This window comes from Homo sapiens, chromosome 13 (genome assembly GCF_000001405.40).
Source record: "Homo sapiens chromosome 13, GRCh38.p14 Primary Assembly".
In the NCBI taxonomy this organism is placed as follows: Eukaryota; Metazoa; Chordata; class Mammalia; order Primates; family Hominidae; genus Homo; species Homo sapiens.
Window position 1 is genome coordinate 87,329,724 of NC_000013.11, and position 22,274 is coordinate 87,351,997.

General features: G+C 35.7%; 1 long non-coding RNA gene across 2 annotated transcripts in view, besides 1 other annotated feature; it reads left to right on the top strand.

Annotated features, from left to right (window-relative positions):
- The first annotated feature begins 4,293 nt into the window (after positions 1-4,293).
- LOC105370302 (uncharacterized) overlaps positions 4,294-22,274 on the top strand; it is a 112,367-nt gene continuing 94,386 nt past the window's right edge. For both annotated transcript variants that reach the window (XR_931625.3, XR_001749950.1), the window contains exons 1-2: positions 4,294-4,447; positions 5,518-5,606. This is a non-coding gene — a long non-coding RNA (uncharacterized LOC105370302). The remainder of the gene's footprint in view (positions 4,448-5,517; positions 5,607-22,274) is intronic.
- Positions 6,498-6,698: a silencer, noted in NCBI's record as "peak2098 fragment used in MPRA reporter construct". NCBI's record gives its function as "represses an SCP1 promoter by STARR-seq MPRAs in K562 erythroleukemia cells {active_cell/tissue: K562}" and the evidence as "EXISTENCE:reporter gene assay evidence [ECO:0000049][PMID:32103011]".

The window sequence follows — 22,274 nt, forward strand, 5'->3', positions numbered from 1 at the left end:
TTTTTGTTTGTTTTTGTTTTTTTGTCACAAGCTCACTGAACTAGGAGATACTGTATAGTTTCACCTTGATCTGTCATGACTGTAATTTCCTAAACACACCTTATTCTCTTCCTAGAATGCACTTTCTTATTTTAGTGACTAATGAGATTGCCCATGAATATTTTAGAATCTAATTACTAACACCTTTTCTGTGATATCTTCATTGTTTTCTTCCATAACCAGAAATAAACTTACATTTGCCTATGTTTTCATCACAAAATGTGGCAACTCTTTTATAATCCTCATCCAATAATATTACCAAATGCTCTTAGTAATTATTTATATCATGTTTATCCTCTCAACCTGACTGTTATCTCTTTAAAATCAGAATATTTACATTACATATATATATATACACATATGTTTGTGTGTGTGTGTGTATATATACATATATACACACACCAGTATATATATATATATATATATATATATATATATATATATATATATATGTATATTCTGGTCCTTCATTAGGAAAGAAGTAATAAATTTGTAAGCTTGAAAGAGACATTTCAACTAATATCTCATTATTATTATTATATAATCAGCATAAAGAGTGATAGTGCACGCAGTTGGGCATTTTTCTTAGGATAAGTGATACATACTTGATGATTGATTTTACACAAATCCCACCAATCTGCTATATTGTAAATGAAGACAGAAAAATTATCTTACTCATCAGAAAAAAATATCAAGGCAAATTTGTTCTTGGAAACAATATGCTCATAAGATTTTAGTAATTACTTCTGAGCCTTTTTGTATTTTACTTACTACCATCCTCCATATGCCTTTGATATTTTTTGGCATATATACATCTTCCATATTTCTTTTTACATAAAAATATTATAAAAACACTGTTTCTCAAAGCTGGTCCATTGCTCATACTTTTCTAAGTACTTTTGGAGTACCATATTCAAGGAAATGTACAAACTGAATTGAACTTAATTTGTAATTATGACTATATCTGCTTTTAACCATTCCTATCTTCATGATACATCATGTACTCTATATAGCACAAAAATGTCTCAAAAGAAACTTATTTCCTAATTTTCCTTTCATTGTTAAAAAACACTTAAACCAAATATAGTGGTGTTCATTTTATCACTATATGAGCAAATATATGTTAAATGTGTACCTTGTATATAAGAACATATTTTTATATTAGCTTTGCTTAGATTATTATGTATAGTTTTTCATTCTGATGTTCAATATATTATATTTAGTCTCAAAGAATCTGGCTTCAATGCAAAGTAAGATTTATCTACTAAATTATATTTTTACAGCTATACATTCATATTTTCTGTCTCTGATTCAACAATATTCTGGTGATGATGCACTTAGGTTATTAAAATAGGTAGACTACATTGTTTAATTTGTATTCTGTCATTTGTTCATCCATAGGTCAATGTAGAAAGTATAAAAATTTCTGTTGTTCTCTTTTAATGTTGAGGTTTCCTGATGTCTTTGTCTTGCTCAAACCCAGTCACCCGCTCTCAGACTGTCATTCACCATCCTGTTCGGCTGGCTTGTGCTGTTTCACAGGAGTTTCCATGTGGGTCACACAGTCTGAGATTGCATGCTTCAGTTTCTGCCAGCCAGTCCTACAGGTCAGGACCTGCTGTTACCCAACCTTGCATAAGTCCTGGAGAGCTGCGCCAGAGCAAAACAATGCTGACAGACTGGCAGTGTCCCAAGGCCTTGTTGGTAAGAATCCTGTCTTACATTTGGTCTCTCCCACTGGAATGACAGAAACTCCAAATTATCCTGCATTCTTTGGCCCACAAAACACTATCCTATTTAATAGAACTCTTCCTTGAAAATTGTTTCCTTAAGAAATAGTGATAGAGAATTTCATTCAGATAAACAGGTAATTGTAAACATAAGAGGATTGCTTTTAACATTTTTTATTTTAAACAATTTTAAAGTTACAGAAAAATTGTAAGCATAGTATAAGGATTTTCCATATACTTATCAAAGACATTCACCAAGTTTTAACATTTGGAAGCATGGAATCATATATTCTCTGTGTGTAGGGGGAGTATGTGTGTGTTCGTATGGTTTTATATATGATTATATATATATGGTTTATATATACAGTATATGGATGTTGTGTATATATACAAACACACCACATACAGTCATGTGTCACATAATGATATTTTGGTCAAGGACAGATCACATATACAATGTTGATTCTGTAAGATTACAATATTGTATTTTTACTGTACCTTTTTTATGTGTAGCTACAAAAATACTAACATCATGTTACAATTCCCTACAGTATTCAGTACAATAACATGCTTGTATTTGTTCGCTTTCATGCCACTGATAAAAACATACCCAAGACTGGGAAGAAAAAGATGTATAATTAGACTTACAGTTCCGCATGGCCAGGGAGGTCTCAGAATCACAGCAGGAGGCAAAAGACATTTCTTACATGATGGCGGCAAGAGAAAATGAGGGAAAAGCAAAAGCGGAAAACCCTGATAAACCCATCACATCTCATGAAACTTATTCACTATCACGAGAATAGCACAGGAAACACTAACACCCATGATTCAATTACCTCTCCCTGGGTCCCTCCCACAACATGTGGGAATTCTGGGAGACACAATTCAAGTTGAGATTTGGGTAGGGACACAGCCAAATCATATCATTTTGCCTGTGACCCCTCCAAATATCATGTCCTCATATGTCAAAATCAATCATGTCTTCCCAACAGTCCCCAAAAGTCTTAACTCATTTCAACATTAACCCAAAAGTCCACAGTCCAAAGTCTCATCTGCGACGAGGCAAGTGCCTTCCACCTATGAGCTTGTAAAATCAAAAGCAAGCTAGTTATTTTGTAGATACAATGGGGGTATGGGTATCGAGTAAATACAGTCATTCCACTTGGGAGAAATTGGCCAAAACAAAGGGGTTACAGGGCCCATGCAAGTCCAAAATACAATGGGGCAGTCAAATTTCAAAGTTCCAAAATGATCTCCTTTGACTCCAGGTCTAACATCCAGGTCATGCTGATGCAAGGGGTGGGTTCCCATGGTCTTTGATAGCTCTGACCCTGTGGCTTTGCAGGGTACAGCCTCCCTCCTGGTTGTTTTCATGGGTTGAAGTTGAGTGTCTGTGGCTTTTCCAGGTGCACAGTGCAAGTGTGGGTGGATCTGTCCAACTGTCGGTGGACCTACCCTTCTGGGGTGTGGAGGACAGTGGCCCTCTTCTCACAGCTCCACTAAGCAGGGCCCCATAGAGACTCTTTGGGGGTTCTCCGACTCCACATTTTCCTTCTGCACTGCCTTAGCAGAGATTCTCCATGAGGGCCCTGACCCTGTAGCAAACTTTTTACTAGGCATCCAGGCATTTCCAACATCTTCTGAAATCTAGACAGAGGTTCCCAAACCTCAATTATTGACTTCTGGGCAACTGCAGGCTTAACACCACGTGGAAACTGCCAAGGCTTGGGGTTTCCAGCCTCTGAAGCCAAAGCTCAAGCTGTACATTGGCCCTTTTGAGCCATGGCTGGAGCAGCTGGCACACAGAGCACTACGTCTCTAGGCTGCATACAGCACATGGACGCTGGGCCCAGGCCACAAAACCACTTTTTCCTCCTGGATCTCCAAGCATATGATGGGAGGGGATGGCATGAAGGTCTCTAACGTGGCCTGGAGACATTTTGCCCATGGTCTCGGGGATTAACATTAGGCTCCTTGCTACTTATGCAAATTTCTGTAGCCAGCTTGAATTTCTCCACAGAAAATGGGATTTTCTTTTCTATCACATAATCAGGCTGCAAATTTTCCAAACTTGTATGCTCTGCTTCCTTTATAAAACTGAATGCCTTTAACGGCAGCCAAGTCACGTTGAGATGTGAAGCCAGCTGGACTTGCTGGGTCGAGTGGGGACTTGGAGAACTTTTCTGTCTTACAAGAGGATTATAAAATGCACCAATTAGTGCTCTGTAAAAACGCACCAATCAGCACTCTGTAGCTAGCAAGGGGATTGTAAAATGCACCAATCAGTACCCTGAAAATGCAACAATCAGCACTCTGTAAAATGCACCAATCAGCAGGATCCTAAAACTAGCCAATCACAGGGAGGATTGATAAAGGAGCACTCTGATAGGACAAAAACAGAACATGGGAGGGGACAAACAAGGGAATAAATGCTGGCCACCCCAGCCAGCAGCAGCAACTCACTCGGGTCTCCTTACACACTGTGGAAGCTTTGTTCTTTCACTCTTCACAATAAATCTTGCTGCTGCTCACTCTTTGGGTCTGTGCCATCTTTAAAAGCTGTAACACTCACTGCGAAGGTCCATGGCTCCATTCTTGAAATCAGCAAAACCACAAACCCACTGGCAGGAACCAACTCTGGACACATCTTGGGAGCTCCTCTGGGATATTGTCATGTGGTGAGTACCATCGGACCCCTTTTGCTTGCCATTCTGTCCTATTTTTCTTTAGAATTTGGGGGCTAAACACCAGGCACCTGTCACCCAGTTAAAAGCGACTAGTGCAGCTACAACACTAAAGACATGGGTATCAGTCTTTCTGGGAAAGGGCTCTCTAACAAACCCTGACACTTCGGAGTCGGGAGCGTCGGTTTTCTGGGAACCAGCTTCCACTTTTCCTGTACTTTGGGCTGAGCCAAAGGTCAACAGACAGAAAAGCCATTCAGCTCCAGGGTCCCAACAAAAAGTTGGTTTACCCTGCAGCCATGAGCGGAACTCTCAAAGTTACGTTGCCCAAGTGAGATTTACCCATATATCCTATCTATCCTGACCCTTGCCTCCTGGGTCCTAACACCTATCAGACAAACTTTCTCTTGCCTCTCTTCTCTGAGGCTAGTCCTGCTTCTAAAAACCACTCCCTGTCTCTGGTGCTTTTCTAGTTTCTCCTATAAAGACTTTTAGTATAAACTTCAGGGCTCTGTTCCCTTCTTTAGGCACCCAGGCTCACCAATCAGAAAGACATAGTTTTTTCTCAAAGCCCCATCGGGGGGGTACCATCCAAACTTTCAGAATCCCTCCTCAGACTAGCCTGCCTAACAAAGGCTATTCCTGAAGCTAGGACATGGGGAGCCTCAGAAATTACAGACTCCAAAATTGGGGGGCTATCCTTCCTATTCACATGATGAGAAGTGAGGACAAAAGGTGTCACTCTTCCAACCCTGGAGATCCCTTCCCTCCCTCAAGGTATGGCCCTCCACTCCATTTTGAGGCATATCATCTTTATGGGATAAGGGTAAGGTCCCAATACTAAAAGGAGAAAATGCTTAGGACTGTAATTGATTTTTGAGAATGCATCAGTAAGGGCCACTAAATCCGATTTTTCTCAGTCCTCTTTGTAGTCTAGGATGAAAACTAGTGTTTCTGCTGCTGCTTTGGTGAGTGCCAACTATTCTGAACAGCAGGGTCCAGGGACTGTTGCAGGTTCTCGGGCAGGGGAAAAAAAAAAAACTGCAGGAGGTTTTTTCTTTCAGATGGGAAACACTCAGGCATCAACAGGCTCACCCTTGAAATGCATCCTAAGCCATTGGGACCAATTTGACCTGCAAATCCTGAAAAATAGGTAAGTGGCTCATTTTTTTCTGCATTATGGCCTGGCCCCAGTATTCCCTCTCTGATGGGAAAAAATGGTCACCTGAAGGAAGTATAAATTATAATACTATCCTGCAACTTGACCTTTTCTGTAAGAGGGAAGGCAAATGGAGTGAAATACCTATGTCCAAGCTTTCTTTTTATTGAAGGATAATCCACAACTATGCAAAACTTGCAATTTACATCCCACAGGAGGACTTCTCAACTTACCTCCATATCCTAGCCTCCTTACAGCTTCCCTTCCTATTAATGATAAGCCTCCTCTAATCTCCCCCACCCAGAAGGAAGCAAGCAAGGAAATCTCCAAGGGACCACAAAACCCCCCGGGCTATCGTTTATGTCCCCTTCAAGCTGTAGGGAGAGGGGAATTTGGCTCAACCCGGATACATGTCCCCTTCTCCCTCTCTGATTTAAAGCAGATCAAGGTAGACCTGGGGAAGTTTACAGATGATCCTGATAGGTATATAGATGTCCTACAGGGTCTATGGCAAACTTTTGACCTCACTTGGAGAGGTGTCATGCTATTGTTAGATCAAACCCTGGCCTTTAATGAAAAGAATGTGGCTTTAGCTACAGCCTGAGAGTTTGGAGATAACCTGGTATCTTAGTCAAGCAAATGATAGAATGACAGCCGAATAAAGGGACAAATTCCCTACTGTTCAGCAAGCCATCCTCAGTATGGATCTCCAGTGGGACCTAGACTCAGATCATGGGGACTGGAGTCGCAAACATCTGTTGACCTGTGTTCTAGAAGGACTAAGAAGAATTAGAAAAAACCCCATGAATTATTCAATGATGTCCACCATAACTCAGGGAAAGGAAAATCCTACCGCCTTACTCTAGCGGCTACAGGAGGCCTCAAGAAAATATACTCCCTTGTTTGATCCTAAAAGATAAGTTTATTACCCAATCAGCCACAGATATCAGGAGAAAGTTCCCAAAGTGAGCCCTGGGCTTGAACAAAATCTGGAGGCATTATTAAGCCTGGCAACCTCAGTGTTCTATAATAGGGACCAAGAAGAACAGGCCGAAAAGGAAAAGCGAGATAAGAGAAAGGCCGCAGCCTTAGTCATGGCCCTCAGACAAACAAACCTTGGTGGTTCAGAGAGGACAGAAAATGGAGCAGGCCAATCACCTGATAAGGTTTGTTATCAGTGTGGCTTGCAAGGACACTTTAAAAAAGATTGTCCAACGAGAAACAAGCTGCCCCTTCGCCCATGTCCACTATGCCAAGACAATCACTGGAAGGCACACTGCCCCAGAGAACAAAGGGTCTCTGGGCCAGAAGCTCCCAACCAGATGATCCAACAACAGAACTGAGGGTGTCTGGGGCAAGCGCCAGCTCATGTCATCACCCTCACTGAGCCCTGTGTATGTTTAACCAGTGAGAGCCAGGAAATTGACTTCCTCCTGGACACTGGCACAGCCTTCTCAGCGTTAATCTCCTGCCCTGGATGGCTATCCTCAAGGTCCATTACCATCCGAGGAATCCTGGGACAGCCTGTAACCAGGTATTTCTCCCACCTCCTCAGTTGTAATTGGGAGACTTTGCTCTTTTCACATGCCTTTCTTGTTACACCTGAAAGTCCCACACCCTTATTAGGGAGGGACATATTAGCCAAGGCTGGAGCTATTATCTACATGAATAAGGGGAACAAGTTACCCATTTATTGTCCCCTACTTGAGGAGGAAATCAACCCTGAAGTCTGGGCATTGGAAGGACAATTTGGAAGGGCAAAAAATGCCCACCCAGTCCAAACCAGGCTAAAAGACGCCACCACTTTTCCTTATCAAAGGCAACATCCCTTAAGGCCTGAAGCTCATAAAGAATTACAGGATATTGTTAGACATTTAAATGTTCAAGGCTTAGTAAGAAAATGCAGCAGTCCCTGCAACACCCCAATTCTAGGAGTACAAAAACCGAATGATCAGTGGAGACTAGTGCAAAATCTTAGACTCATCAATGAGGCAGTATTTCCTCTATATCCAGTTGTACCCAACCCCTATACCCTGCTTTCTCAAATACCAGAGGAAGCAGAATAGTTCACTGTTCTGGACATATGTTATAGAGTAGCATTAGGTTGGTGCAAAAGTAATCATGGTTTTTGCCATTACCTCTGTACCAACTAATAGACAGATTGCAAGTTTGTAAATATTTTGTGTATTCAAAGAACTAAATTACATCAAATTTTGGAAAGAAAAAGCAATTTCTCTAAGTAGAAAATAAACAGAAACACATGAACCTACTTAAGTTCACAAAGAAAAAAATAGTAATTTCAACCAATTGAATATCACAGAACTCTTCTGGTAAAACCTTAGCAGGATTGAAAAAGTCTTAAAAGACATATTATCAATTATGGTATTTGTAATGCTATTTTGAAAAAAAGTTGATGAATACAGCAGGTACATATTTATTTATTGTATCAAGAACAAAGATTTTCAAATACAAAAAAAACCCTAAAATTACATAATTGTGGAAATTAAGTAAATTTCCTATAATAATTTCATACCGAAAAATGCCAGTATGGACTCATTTAGGTTTCTTTTTTTCAAGTACATATATTTTCTGGCCTTCATCACAAAAACGGACCTAGAAAGCATGCAAACCCAGCAACAATGAAAGATTCTGTGATCTGGATTTTCCTGTCTGAATAGAATTTCTTACCAAAATAAACTAATAAAGAAAGGGTTGATTTTGGGTATGTCGCAGGGAACTTACGACAAGTGTTAGAACACTGACTATCCTTGAAAGCAACAAAACTTTCTACTAACAAGGTGGTGGAAGGGGTAATGGCCGTGTTAGAAAGATCAAGGAACCAGTGTGAAGGTTTTCCTTATGGTCAGATTGGGACATAAAAATATACTAACTGTAAATGATTTTAAAACTATCTAAAATAAAAACCTTTAAGTCAAGAGTGGAGAGATAGGAAGAGAGAATGAGAATGAAGTTGATTATTACACCACCCTCTTGCTCTGAAAATTGATAGTTAAAAATAAAAAAACTAAGCATTTAACAAGCCTTTACAAGAAAAGATATATATATATATATGCATATTTCATATATATATATGTCATCCAAGTTAGGAAGAAAAGTTCTCCTTTATAAAACAATTCCAGCTAATAAAAGAATGATAGAATGAGAAAATCACTAGAATGTGAGATAAAATTGCAAAATTTTTCCAATCTATTTAACATATTAATGTCATTTTTACAAAATGGGCAGGAGATTTTTCTAGATAAAAATAGATGAGATATTCTGATTGATCATATCCTACTATGTTTATGTAGGAGACTGTTCTTGTTTTAAGGAGATCTTTTCTAAGCTATTCTATGGAAAAGCATCATACTGTCTGCAACAAAATTTTAATATCTATATTTTTGGCATGTGTGGCAAAACTTAACTAATTTTGAGTCGAGGTGACAAATTGTGTTGGTCAATATAAATTTTTTTCAACTTTTCTGAAAATTAGACATTTGTTGCAATAAAATTTGGGGGATTTTATTTTAGATTAAAATGTTAAGAAACCATGTACTCTCTTTGGTAGTCACCAAATAATATTTGTGTTATAATATTATATGAGGTAGAATATAAGAGATTAAATATATTATCATTATAATGCTATTTGCTATTTTCTGTACTGGTACAGGTACTGTAAACATGTAACTTTTACAAATTATATTTAACTTTTTCTTATTATGTAAGTCATAATGCTTTAAAGAAAATATCCTATTTTGATATTTTAAGTCTTGTGAATGAATTATAAACAGAATGTTAATTTTATGACCAGAGAAAGAGGTTGTTTGCAAGCAGAAAAACTTGGAATCAAATAAACAATTTTAAATAAAACATCAACTTTTATCCAGCCATTGTCAAAAATAAATAGTAAATGAAGAAAATAATTTATCTTCCTCCTATCTCAATCTTAGTTGGAAATGGGTACCAATTTAGCATCACAAATAGTATATTACAATTACTTATTGACTAGACTGATAATTTCAGCCTTTCTTAATTTCAGTGGGTTAACCAAATTGAGAGCTAAACTCCATGAATTTAAACAAAAACAAATAAACATAAACTACTGTTGGAGTGGTGTGACCAAGAAATTCGAACTTGCAATCTGTCCTTGCAAGTTCTCATCCTAGGTTATGAGGAAACTTGCAAGTTAGGAAAAATTATTTTGCATTCAAGAATTTAAGACATCATTGAATGCAATGGAATAAAGGAACAGGATAACGTATGGAATAAAGGAACAGGATGAGTTTATGGAAGTGTGTGCAGACTTCCTGATAGAGATTCTTATTGGCCAAATTAAGGATTTTGTATTGTTGCTTGACTAATGAAAGATTTTCAAATATTTGTAGCATTTACTATCATCTAGCTTATATTTACAAATGATCAAAATGTCTGTTATTTTAAAAAGGTACAAAAAGGGAGCAAGTTGAGTTTGTCAGGGAGAAAGGTGAGAGTTTTTTGGACTTTATTTTAATGTATAATAGCAATACAGGGAAGTATCCAATTTGAAATACGAAGTTTGAATTTGGAAGCTATGTCTCCATTACCCTGTATTCTTAGCTTAAGGATATGTTTATTCTACTAAACGCACTTTAGAAATATTTTGTCCGGGGAAGGAAAATTTTCTTTAGTATTTCAATAATGGCTCTCTCTCTTATCATTCTTGACTAATTCAGGAAAAAACGAGAACCTTTACCACATTTTTGGCATTAAGCTATTTGATTTTTCAATGCATATTTTTTGAGAACCACATATGTGAAAGGTGTTGCATTAGGTAATGACAAAAACAGAGAAAGCTCCTGAATTCTGGGAGCCTTTTTTCTAGTATGGAAGCACATATGAATCAGACAGTGAAACAAATGCATTTAAAATAAGGAATCTAGTAGATAACATGTAGTGGCTTTTCCAACATCCATTTCAATTTCCTTTTTGCATACAGTGATTAGAATGCTTAAAATATTACAATTTAGCCTCCATTAAAGCTATAGTTTGGAAGAATTTCTTTTTACTTATTGATTGTACTTGCAAGAGACTTTGATTTGAGACTGAATTGTGTGGCTAGAGGAGCTAGGTGCAGGGCTTCTGCTTTGATCTAGCACTTTACAGCAGCAATGGTAATGTTTTTCTGTGAACATTTGTTGTAGTAACAGAATTTTGCAGTGAGATTAGGATTTTTCACCTATGGGGGCAACATGCTTGTGAATACAGGAATTTTCCAGGAAGTTCAAGTTGGAGGTTTCTCCACCTCTACCAATGAGCTTGTATGAACCTAAAATCATGTATTAGATTGCTTTTTGCACCAACCGTCTAGAGTAGATTCCGTTATTGGCATCTACAAACCACTAAGTAAAATAAATAGGTAAATTAGAGATGGGAAACAGTCATTCTAGGACATCAGTTTCTGTGAGCGCCTGTTTACCCTATTTGGTTTGAAAGTTTTAATATTACCAAAGTGTGTTCATGTATTAGTCAGGGTTCTCTAGAGGGACAGAACTAATGGAATATAAATATATATTTTTATTATATATATAATATATATTATACATATTATATATTATTATATATAATAATAATATACATAATATTATTATAATATTATTATATATTTAATATTATATTATATATAATATAATATTAAATATAATATATAATAATATTATATTATATTATATATTTTATATATAATAATATTTTATTATTATATATTATATAATAATATAATATTAAATATAATATATAATATTATATTATATTATTATATATTAATATATTATAATATATAGTATATACATAATAAACATATATATGTTTATTAAGTATTAAATTACACCTTACACCATCACAGAGTCCCACATTAGGCTGTCTGCAGGTTGAGGAGCAAGGAGAGTCAGTCAGAGTTCCAAAACTGAAGAAGTTGGAGTTGATGTTCAAGGGCAGGAAGCATCCAACACGGGAGAAAGATTTAGTGCGGGAGGCTAGGCCAGTCTCTCTTTTCAAATTTTTCTGCTTGCTTATATTGCCAAAGGAAATTAACATTTGAATCGGGGGCTGGGAAAGGCACACCCACTCTTAATCTGGGTGGGGACAATCTAATCAGCAGCCAGAGTGCGGCTAGAATATAAGGAGGCAGAAAAATGTGAAAAGAGAGACTGGCCTGGCCTCCCAGCTTACATCTTTCTCCCGTGATGGATGCTTCCTGCCCGGGAACATCGGACTCCAAGTTCTTCAGTTTTGGAACTCAGACTGGCTCTCCTTGCTCCCAGCCTGAAGACGGCCTATTGTCGGACCTTGTGATAGTGTGAGTTAATACTTAGTAAACTCCCACATATATGAATACACACCTATACATACATATATACATATACATATTCCATATATACACACACACATATACACACACACACACACATATATACATATACATATTCCATTAATTCTGTCCCTCTAGAGAACGCTAATATGATAATTTATTGGAGACAAAATATATTTCAGTTACATTAGGCATATTATTTTCAAATTATTTTATCACTCTTAACTTTTAAAAGTACATTAACCACAGTTATATAGGAAACCTCATTACAGATATTAAAAAATAACCAGGTGACTTATCAATGGAGAATGAAAATATATCACTATTTTATAAATGGGTTGGACATAAACAAATGTTTATCCTCAAATTGAATGGCAGGAAATTCATGCTAAGAAAAGCAAGACCATTTCAGAGGTAAGCTCCAAATGTGGACAGTTATGCAAACAAGATAAGAATAAAGATACTCTGCTAATTGCACTCTGCTACAACAAACATATAAAACTTTCATTACAACAAAGAAGTTTCCTGTTACAATACCACTTTAAATATAAAGTAGTCTAATTAGATCAGATAATCAAATTTCTTAATTGGAAAGAGAAACAAAGTAATAACAATCTTAGGAAAATAAATGTTTATTTTGTACAGATTCAAAGAACATTTATCATTGTGAGCCAACCACTTCCCATTGTCCTTTCTTCTAGTCAGAAAAACCTAAGTCTCTTCTGGAAAACCATCTCATGCCCTATTTTCAGTCTGCTGTTGGTGAAGATGAACTTAGTTGAACTGAATTACTTTGAACCAGCAGTTTTGTTTTGCTTATTTTATTTGTTTATTTGTTTTAAGTTGTGGGGTACATGTGCAGGATGTGCAGGTTTGTTATATAGGTAAATGGGTGACATGGTGGTTTTAATCAGTGAGATTTCAGGTTTAAAATATTACCTGGATTATGTTCCTGATACAAGTCTCTTCTAAATTGTGACTGAACTACACATTCAGGAAACAAACAAACAAACAAAAAACAGGTGAATTCACATAACACCACTGTAAATGAAGTCTAATAATCAACTTATTGCCAATATCTGGAATAATTTTTATTGCTTACAATAATCAGTCATGTGGATTGGTATATACTGTCTGCTCTGCCACAATAAGCAGGGTAGTTAGTAAATACTAATATTAATTCTTAGTCCACATTACATCAACAACTAAGAGCTTTAAAGTCAGTAGTGAAATAACAACTGTTATGATGTTTCTTCTCTATTTGAATTATCTGATCTAATACATCTCGAATATTTCCCCAATTATCCATTATATTTTCTACATATTCCAAATTGCCATGTGATAAAAGCACAAATTTCTGTTTCAAGCTATATAGTTGCTATGTAGATCATTTATAGAGACAGAAGGAGTTATATTTACAGGGTAAATTTTATGTTGAAGCTTTTCATTTACATAATACATTTAGGGTTTACATAACTCAGGTAGTCAGAAAATGAATGGACCCCATCTTGGGCCAATCTATACTATTACATTAGACACTGGGAACTGACGTAGGAACAAAAGGCATCAAAAAACTGGACTCCCAATGTTATATCTTGTAAGAGAATGTGTCCAGCAGCCAATGAACAAAGGGTGGAGTAAAGGACACTGTACTATTTTTCACTTAATAAATAAATGTATAGGCTGGGCGCGGTGGCTCATGCCTGTAATCCCAGCACTTTGGGAGGCCGAGGCAGGTGGATCACGAGGTCAGGAGTTTGAGACCAGCCTGACGAACATGGTGAAAACCCATCTCTATTAAAAATACAAAAATTAGCCGGGCATGGTGGCGCGCACCTGTAATCCCAGCTACTCAGCAGGCCGAGGCAGGAGAATCACTTGAATCCAGGAGGGAGAGGTTGCAGTGAGCCGAGATTGCACCACTGCACTCCAGCCTGGGTGACAGAGCAAGACTCCATCTCAAAAAAAAAATAATAATAATAATAAATAAATGTATAAAATGATATTGGTAACTTTATTTTTACCACAAATACATGTATTTTATTTCTTACACTTTCAAAAGCAGAATATAATGCAAAATAGAAAATAATAGCAAGACAAAATAATAATATAAAAGGTAGGAAATACCAGAACATAGAATAGAAAAAAAAATTAAAAATCACTCTAAAACCTGTAAAACTCCTATAAGTAGAATTATATTTCTGTCATATAATAATAACTAAAAAAAAAGGTTTGAGGATGGAACTACAACCATAAATACAGAACAGATACAATGAAATGACAATTCTATAAAATACCTATGCTAATTTTTTAAATAATATGATAAAACTCCAGATTTCTACTAAGCTAAAAAAGTAAAAAAGAATCCCAGATCATTTGGAAGAGTATGATTTGACCATCTTTTTCTAGATTTCCAGAAATAGCTTCATGAAATAAGAAAAATTTAAAAAGCAAAACCTCATGATATCTTCGAAAAGTAATGTGCATTACCAATATATTATAAATCTGACAAACATTTTCCTGGAAGAAGTGAAGCATCAAGATATTCATATCCAGTTTGAAAAGCATTTCATGTCCATATCGCAGCTGTTACTTTAAAATGTAGTGTCAATGGTCCAGACAGAAGAAAAGATATCCAAGAAAACTTGCAATTATGCCTTGAATGTGAGTGCAGAGTATCCATAATGCATTCCTCAGATTCCTCTGGAATTAGACAGGTTGGGTAAGGAAGTAAGATCACCCACATAGTTGCTTGACTGAGAGATCAATTTCACCTTTATGGTAAATTTTATGAAGTACAGCATTATCAATACATAGAATAATTAAGTAGATTGCTCTTTTATCTGAGCCACTCGTTGAGGCCAAGGAATTGTGAGATGCTGCTTGGTCAGATTTGATTCAAGTGCTTACTACTGGGATGACAGATTCAACCTCAGTCTTCACTAACAGCAGACTGAGAATAGGGCACGAGATGGTTTTCCAGAAGAAACTTAGGTTTTTAGTATTAGAAGAAAGGACAATGGGAAGTGGTTGGCTCACAATGATAAAGGTTCTTTTAATCTGGACAAAATAAACATTTATTTTCCTAAGATTGTTCATAACTTTGTTTCTCTTTCCAAATTAGTGAAGTGATTTCTGGTCTAAAAAGACTGTCATATATTTAAAGTGGTTTTGTAACAGGAATGAAAGTTTTAAGTGTGTTTTGGTTCCTGGTAAACATAGAACCTATGAAAGGCAATAAAGCAGTAAACTTATTTCATTACAATTCCTGTAATTAATTATATGCTCTATTTTAAAACTCCTATTCTATTTATACTGTATAACTTACTGTCTTTAATGGTTAATGATTGTAGTTCTCACTCATGTCTCATAATCCTCCAGATTTGTCCAAATAGCACTTCCACTGTGCAGAGTTGGACACTTCAAGATATCTTACTAACATACAAATGCTTTGCAATAAATCATTCACTGCTATTTTTTTAAATAGTAGGAATATAGAATATAAATAAATAATTCCCGAGGTGAAAACAATGAGCTTCAATACATAACCAGATCTAGGAAAAAATAAAAATATTTCGTTTTAATATATTATACTTTAATATCTGCACTTACATTGAAATTAAAATTTACAATGAATCTTTAAAACTAAAGCTATCATGCAGAAAAAAATCAACAAAATTCTGCTCAACAAGTGCTTTTAAGCTGAGAAAACATAAGAACAAATTGTTCCTCTTTGGGGTTTATAAGTAAATTTTCGTTTATATATACATAATAGTAGGAGAAAAAGGAAGAATAGACATACAATATAGAAGGATGGAAAAATTAAGAGAAGTGAAGGTAAGGGTTTGGTTGTGTTCTGTGTCAGAAGTATAGGACTTATGATCTATACTTATGAAATAATTATCTTTTACACATTATCTCTAAAAAGACCATGCAAGTTCATTTCATTCAACCTGAAGGTATCATTTTACAGCTGAATAAACTGAATTTGAGAAAACATGATTTACCTTTTCTAGTTTCCACATTTTCCTGCTCATAAACTTTCAATCTATCACTGATTTTAGGCATTCCTGCCTTATACATTCTCATGTAGTTATCAGAGAAAAGAAAACCAGTTTGGCTTATGATTCATCACACAACTCAGGTAATTAGAATATTCTTTCATATTTGTGTTGGTAGTTGTTTTGCTATTACCATAAAATCAGGAGAAATATATATTCAGCATTTTAACACTATTGAAATGTTAAAAATCATCACAATAGAAATGATAATTATGTATTCTTGCTAGGTGACACTAACAGAGTATCTGTTTAAAATTGCAAGGTACAGAGAACATATAAGCATGAGTATCAAATTATTCAGCTCTTATAAATCTATTGCATTTTTCCAAGCATCAAATCAGTGTGTTTCTTCTTTCTCATTTGCCTAATTTATGGTAATCCGTACTGCTAGCAGGGTCTCTGAATACTTTGCATATTACATGTATTTGGATAATAGAAAAACACTTTTTTAATCATTAAGGAAATTATCTTTAAAATATTTTATTTTAGATTCAGCATGTACATGTGCAAATGTGTTACTTGGATATATTGTGTAATGGTGGGGTTTGGGATTCTAGTGTACCCATCACCCAAATAGTGACCATTGAACCCAGTAGATAGTTCTTCATCCCTCACCCTCTGTCAACATCCCTGCTTTTGGAATCCCATGTCTACTGTTTTCATCTTTATGTCTATGTGTACCCATTGTTTAGCTTCTACTTATACGTGAGAACATAAAGTATTTGATTTTCTGTTTCTGAGTTATTTCACTTATGTGGTATGATGGCCTCCAGCTCCATCCATGTTGCTACTAAGGATATGATTTAATTTTTTATGGCTGCATAGTATTCCATGGTGTAGATATACTACATTTTCTTTATCCAATCAACCATTGATAGAAACTTAGGTTGATTCCATGATTTTGCTATTGTGAATAGTGCTGTGATAAATGTCAGTGCAGGTGCTGTTTTATATAATGGTTTCTTTTCCTTTGGGTAAATACCTACCAATGGGATTGCTGGATCAAATGACAGTTCTATATTTACTTATTTGAGAAATTTCCTTACTGTTTTCCATACCACATTCTATGAAACCAGTATCACTCTGATATAAAAATGAGGTAAGGACACAACAACAACAAAATAAACTACAAGCCAGTATCTTTGATGGCAATAGATGCTTACCATCCTCAGCAAAATAGTAGCAAACCAAATCCAGTTGCAAATCAGAAGGATAATTTATTAGAATCAAATGGGTTTTATTCCAGGGATACAATATGGTTCAACATTCACAAATGAATAAATGTAACTCACCACATAAACAGAGTTAAAAATCATACGATTATCTCAATAGATGCAGAAAATGTATTCGACAAAATCGAACATCCTTTCATGATAAAAACCCTCAACAAATTAGGTATCAAAGGAATATACCTCAGAATAATAACACCATATACAACAAACTCAGTCAACATCATACTGAACAGAGAAAAGTTGAAAACATTCCTCCTAAGAACTGGAACAAGACAAGAATGTCCACACTTAGTATTCTTATGCAACATAATATGTTCAAGCCGAGAACAAAATCAAGAACTCAATCCCATTCATAGTAGCCACACACACACAAATAAAATACCTAGGAATACAGCTAATCAAAGAGGTGAAGGATCTCTATGAGGAGAACTACAAAACATGAAAGAAAGAAATAGGTGTCATAAACGAATAGAAAAACACCACATGCTTATGGATTGGAAGAATCAATATCATTAAAATGACCATACTGCCCAAAGCAATATACAGATTGAACACAATTCCTGTCAAACTACCAAATCATTATTCACAGAGTTAAGAAAAAAATCCTAAACTTCCTTTTTTAAATAATAAAAATAAGACTTTTTTTTTTTTTTTTTTTTTTTTTTTTTTTTTTTTTTTTTTTTTTTGAGATGGAGTTTTGCTGTGTCGCCCAGGCTGCAGTGCAGTGGCGCAATCTCGGCTCACTGCAAGCTCCTCCTCCTGGGTTCACGCCATTCTCCTGCCTCAGCCTCCCGAGTAGCTGGGACTACAGGAGCCCGCCACCACGCCTGGCTAATTTTTTGTATTTTTTTTAGTAGATACGGGGTTTCACCGTGGTAGCCAGGATGGTCTCGATCTCCTGATCTTGTGATCTGCCCGCCTCGGCCTCCCAAAGTGCTGGGATTACAGGCGTGAGCCATCGCGCCCGGCCGACATTTTTTTTATAAATACAGTTTAAAGCATTTTAAGAAGAGAAAAAAGTGTCTTCGACATTCAAATGGAAAAAAAAATGGTAAAAATCCCGGCTCTGAGTTCTCATTATTCAAGTTAATTAATAGTTTATATGGAAAGAAGTGAATCATTTTCTCATTTCATATGTGCACTATTGGTTTGCATTTATTCAGAAGCTTTGTAAATATCCAAAAGCTATGGTTCTCTGGCAAGAAAGAGCCAAGGAATAGATACTTGGCATTCACTGGTTGTTATAGTATATTGGCTACTTTATCCTTCAGTGTTATTTAGGTTGTCTTCTTTATTACTAACACCTCAGCTTAGTTCCTTGCTTAATTTAATGCTAAATTCATAGTTTGGCATTTTCCACTGGTTATATTGATTGTGGCAAAGAAGAAAGAATATACTGGGGGATTTTTTTTCCCCCTAGAATTAAACAATCATACCACCAGAGGAATATCTACTTTTACAATATCAATGAAAGATACACAGATAGGTAGAGGGATAGAGATAGGAAGATAGCTAACTAGCTAGATACATAGATACAAATTGATATAATATAGATATGGTAAAAGCCAGGAGATTTTCTAAAGGATAGTTAACTTAGAAAATAAGTGTGTAGTGACTAACTGAAGATAGTTTATCTAGATCTTCTGATGGACATAACCTTGCTCTTTAAAACCAAACTACCTCATTTCTATTATCTTTAATATCAATTTGATCTATATATATGGATAGATAGATAACATATATAATTCTTCCCTATGATCAAAAAACAGTGTAAAATCACAAGATGATTTCCATTTCAAGATTAACTTCAAATTAACAAATAATTAATAGAGATCCACAGTTTCCTCCATACTGTTTCAGATATGAGGAAAAGTGAAGAAATATACTATCCAGTCACTAAAATTTGACAGTAATAATACATTTAACTATCACAATGTAGAGAAAAAGAAATACGTTCTGAGTGGTCAGGGACATCTCCTCCTTTCCTTATCCTTTTAATGGGTGGAGACTACAGGCCACATAGAGACTATGTTTACACAAGAAGTCCAGTTCATTTAGTTTCCATGAAACCTTTCAACAAATATGAGAGATAATTTGTTATGATGATCATGATCATGTTAAATGAGTGAACATAAGTTATGAAAAAAAGTTATTTTCAATGACAATTTGATTAAAAAGTCTAAAAGAGTACAAAGCTCTTCTTGTGGAGACTATTTTTTTCATATTCAGTAAAGTTGCTTTAGTTTTGAGACACTAAAATAATTTGTGTTTAGCTTCAACAATTACTGAAAAACCTGGTTTTAAACTTTTTGAAATAAACTAATTTATAGGGACAGTTTTTTTGTGTTCTGGGTTTCTTTCTCAATTACATTATTTAATCTTCAGAGTTTTCCTAATGTTGTACCCATTTGATATCTTACTGGTATGCTATCAAAGAGAATAGTAAGTGTCTAGGTGGGATATGAGATGTGAGGGTGGAAGTTGAGGTAAGTGGAGAGATAAAATACATCAGAATCTGCAAATCAAGAAAACATGACTTTGAAGGCCTTATTAGGAGACTCCAAAATCATTCACACCCTTCTCTCAAGATAATCAGCATTTCTTGTCTTCTGCACAAAGGAAATAGAGCCAGAAATGTTTACAATTAACATAGAAAGGACAGAAAAAGTTTAGGTAATCAAAAGGCACCTCCTTTTTTTTTTTTTTCCTCCCTTCTGTGTCTGAACTCCATTGACCTAGAGAATGAAGGGGAAAGGAATGTTCCAGGTACAGATAATGTACCCTCCTCTAAAGGCTGCAGAAAAAAGAGAAGAAATAAAAGACCATACTCTGCACACATCTCAATTATCAATGCTGTGGAGAAGAGATTATATTTAAATTGTATATGAGATTAAAGTTTAGAACTAGAATCAACTGAAGTATTTAAAAAAATAAATAAATCATGTGGAAAATTATGATATCTGCCTGCATTATTGATAAGGTAACTGAACTTCATTTCCAGCCTCTTGCTGCTTGGAAAATCAATGCTCAAGAAACAAGTGTTGGCAAGAAGAAAAGTTACCTTTATTAGGGAAGCCAGCAACCTGGGAAGATAGTGAACTCACATGCAAAGGCTACCTCTTCAAATGGTGGCTCCATACCAGAGTTTATCAGGGAAATCAGGGGAAGAGCAAGTGGTGATCAAAGTCTTCTTGTGGCAGGAGCTACATGTGCAATCTCAGGCAGGCAGTGAATCTTCTCTGTCTTGGTCAGAGTCTTGTGACCTTTTGCTGGCGCTAGGCTCTTCTTACCTAGTAGCAGCCTAGACTGCTGGCCAGTCTGCCCCCGAAATTGCTGGTCAGCGTATTTCTCTTAATCTGTGTCAAAGGTCCCGTTTTTCTGAGATTGTTCTGTTCTTAGTGAATAATCTACAGACTTAGGCAAAGCAGTAATTAAAACTCAAATAAGCAAAATTTTTTCTTTAACATGGTGGACGTTCAAAATGGAGTCAGTGTTGTTACAAACTCCCCACTGCCAATGTATCTTTCCATATCTATAGAAAATGGGCAAAGGTCTCATCTTCTGTAACTACTTCTGCTGAACTGGGACATAGTGGGTATTTTAGTTGGAAGGTTTTGACATGGTGTCATACAGAGTTTTTGTTCTTTTCTGTGGTAGGTGAGAAATCAGAGTTAACTTTTCATTAATGGCATTGTTGACCTTTTTGATAAAGCATAACATTACCAATTTAAATCTTAAGAATATATCAGTAGTTATTAGCAGAATTGTTCATTTTAATTTAAAAATTTTCTGTCATGCTGATTTTAGTTCAGCAGATAGTATCATGCTGATATTTTGTTCAGAGAATAGGCTAAAAAACAAATCCCAGCCTCCTCCAAACAAGGAGATATAATGGTTTAGAGTTTGTTGTAATCAGATCACTTGCTCTCTAACTTTTTAAATGTTTGTTTCTACTTGAGAGGAAGTACTGATATATATGCAACAGGAGGAATTAGTAACAACACAAACACCATCTCGTTCTGTTAAAATATAGTCTAGGACTATTCTGTTATTTAGCACTACTTGTATTAATGGATCTACTAAGTTTTGTAAGTTTGCAAGAGACTTAGTGGCTCCAGTAGCAATTACGATTAAAGTCCTGGGTAGATTTATCAGTTCATGATAATATAAAGCCATTCCCCCATGAAGGCAGAAAAGAGTACCCAAAGAAGTACATGGGTTCTGAAGGTATATGGGTATATGGTCAGAAAGAAAGTCTTTCAAGTCTTGAGAGAGCTTGTCCAATGTCTTTATTGTGTTTTTTTATTTTTTTAGGAGCGTGAAGGGTGAAAGGAGTTATTAACATGTCTATTAGGCATTATCCTGAATGTGTGTCATTTTACAAGCAATGATATGCCCATGGTACTCAATCAGGAAGTTATATTAATATATATCTTCCAGGGGGCAAAACATATACTCATTTGTTTTACTAATCTAAATGGCTGTATTGTTTTCCCCAAGTATTTCCAGGGAAATCTATTAAATCATCTGTTATGGATATGATTACAGGTTCTTGGTTTTAGAGGGGGAGGGTCTTCCCTGGTGTTGGAGTCAATGTGTAGCTTGTTTAATTGGCATTAGTTTTTACCCACCTGGAAAGGCATGAGGGATTGTGTCTTTTCAGAGGTGAAATGAGTGATTCTGACAATATATGTAACTCTTGGTTTTTTATGGTATACGCGACATACTAAATGGTCCCACATGTCATATACTGAGTAGTGGTTGGAATGGCAAATCTAACAATCAGTTTTTTATGTATTATTGGCAAAGATTAAGATAGTTTAACTTAAGCAATATGTAACCGCCATGTTAGATGGTAGCAGCACCACCTTTAGCATTCAGTATTTTATTAGGATATTTAATATTTTTGTTATTAGAGGTTAGCAAATCTCTTTTTTTCTATATTGCCCCATGTGCTTGTATTACCATGAAGGCATATCTAGAGTCTGTGCAGCTCTCCTCTTTCCTTTGGGATAAAGTTAAG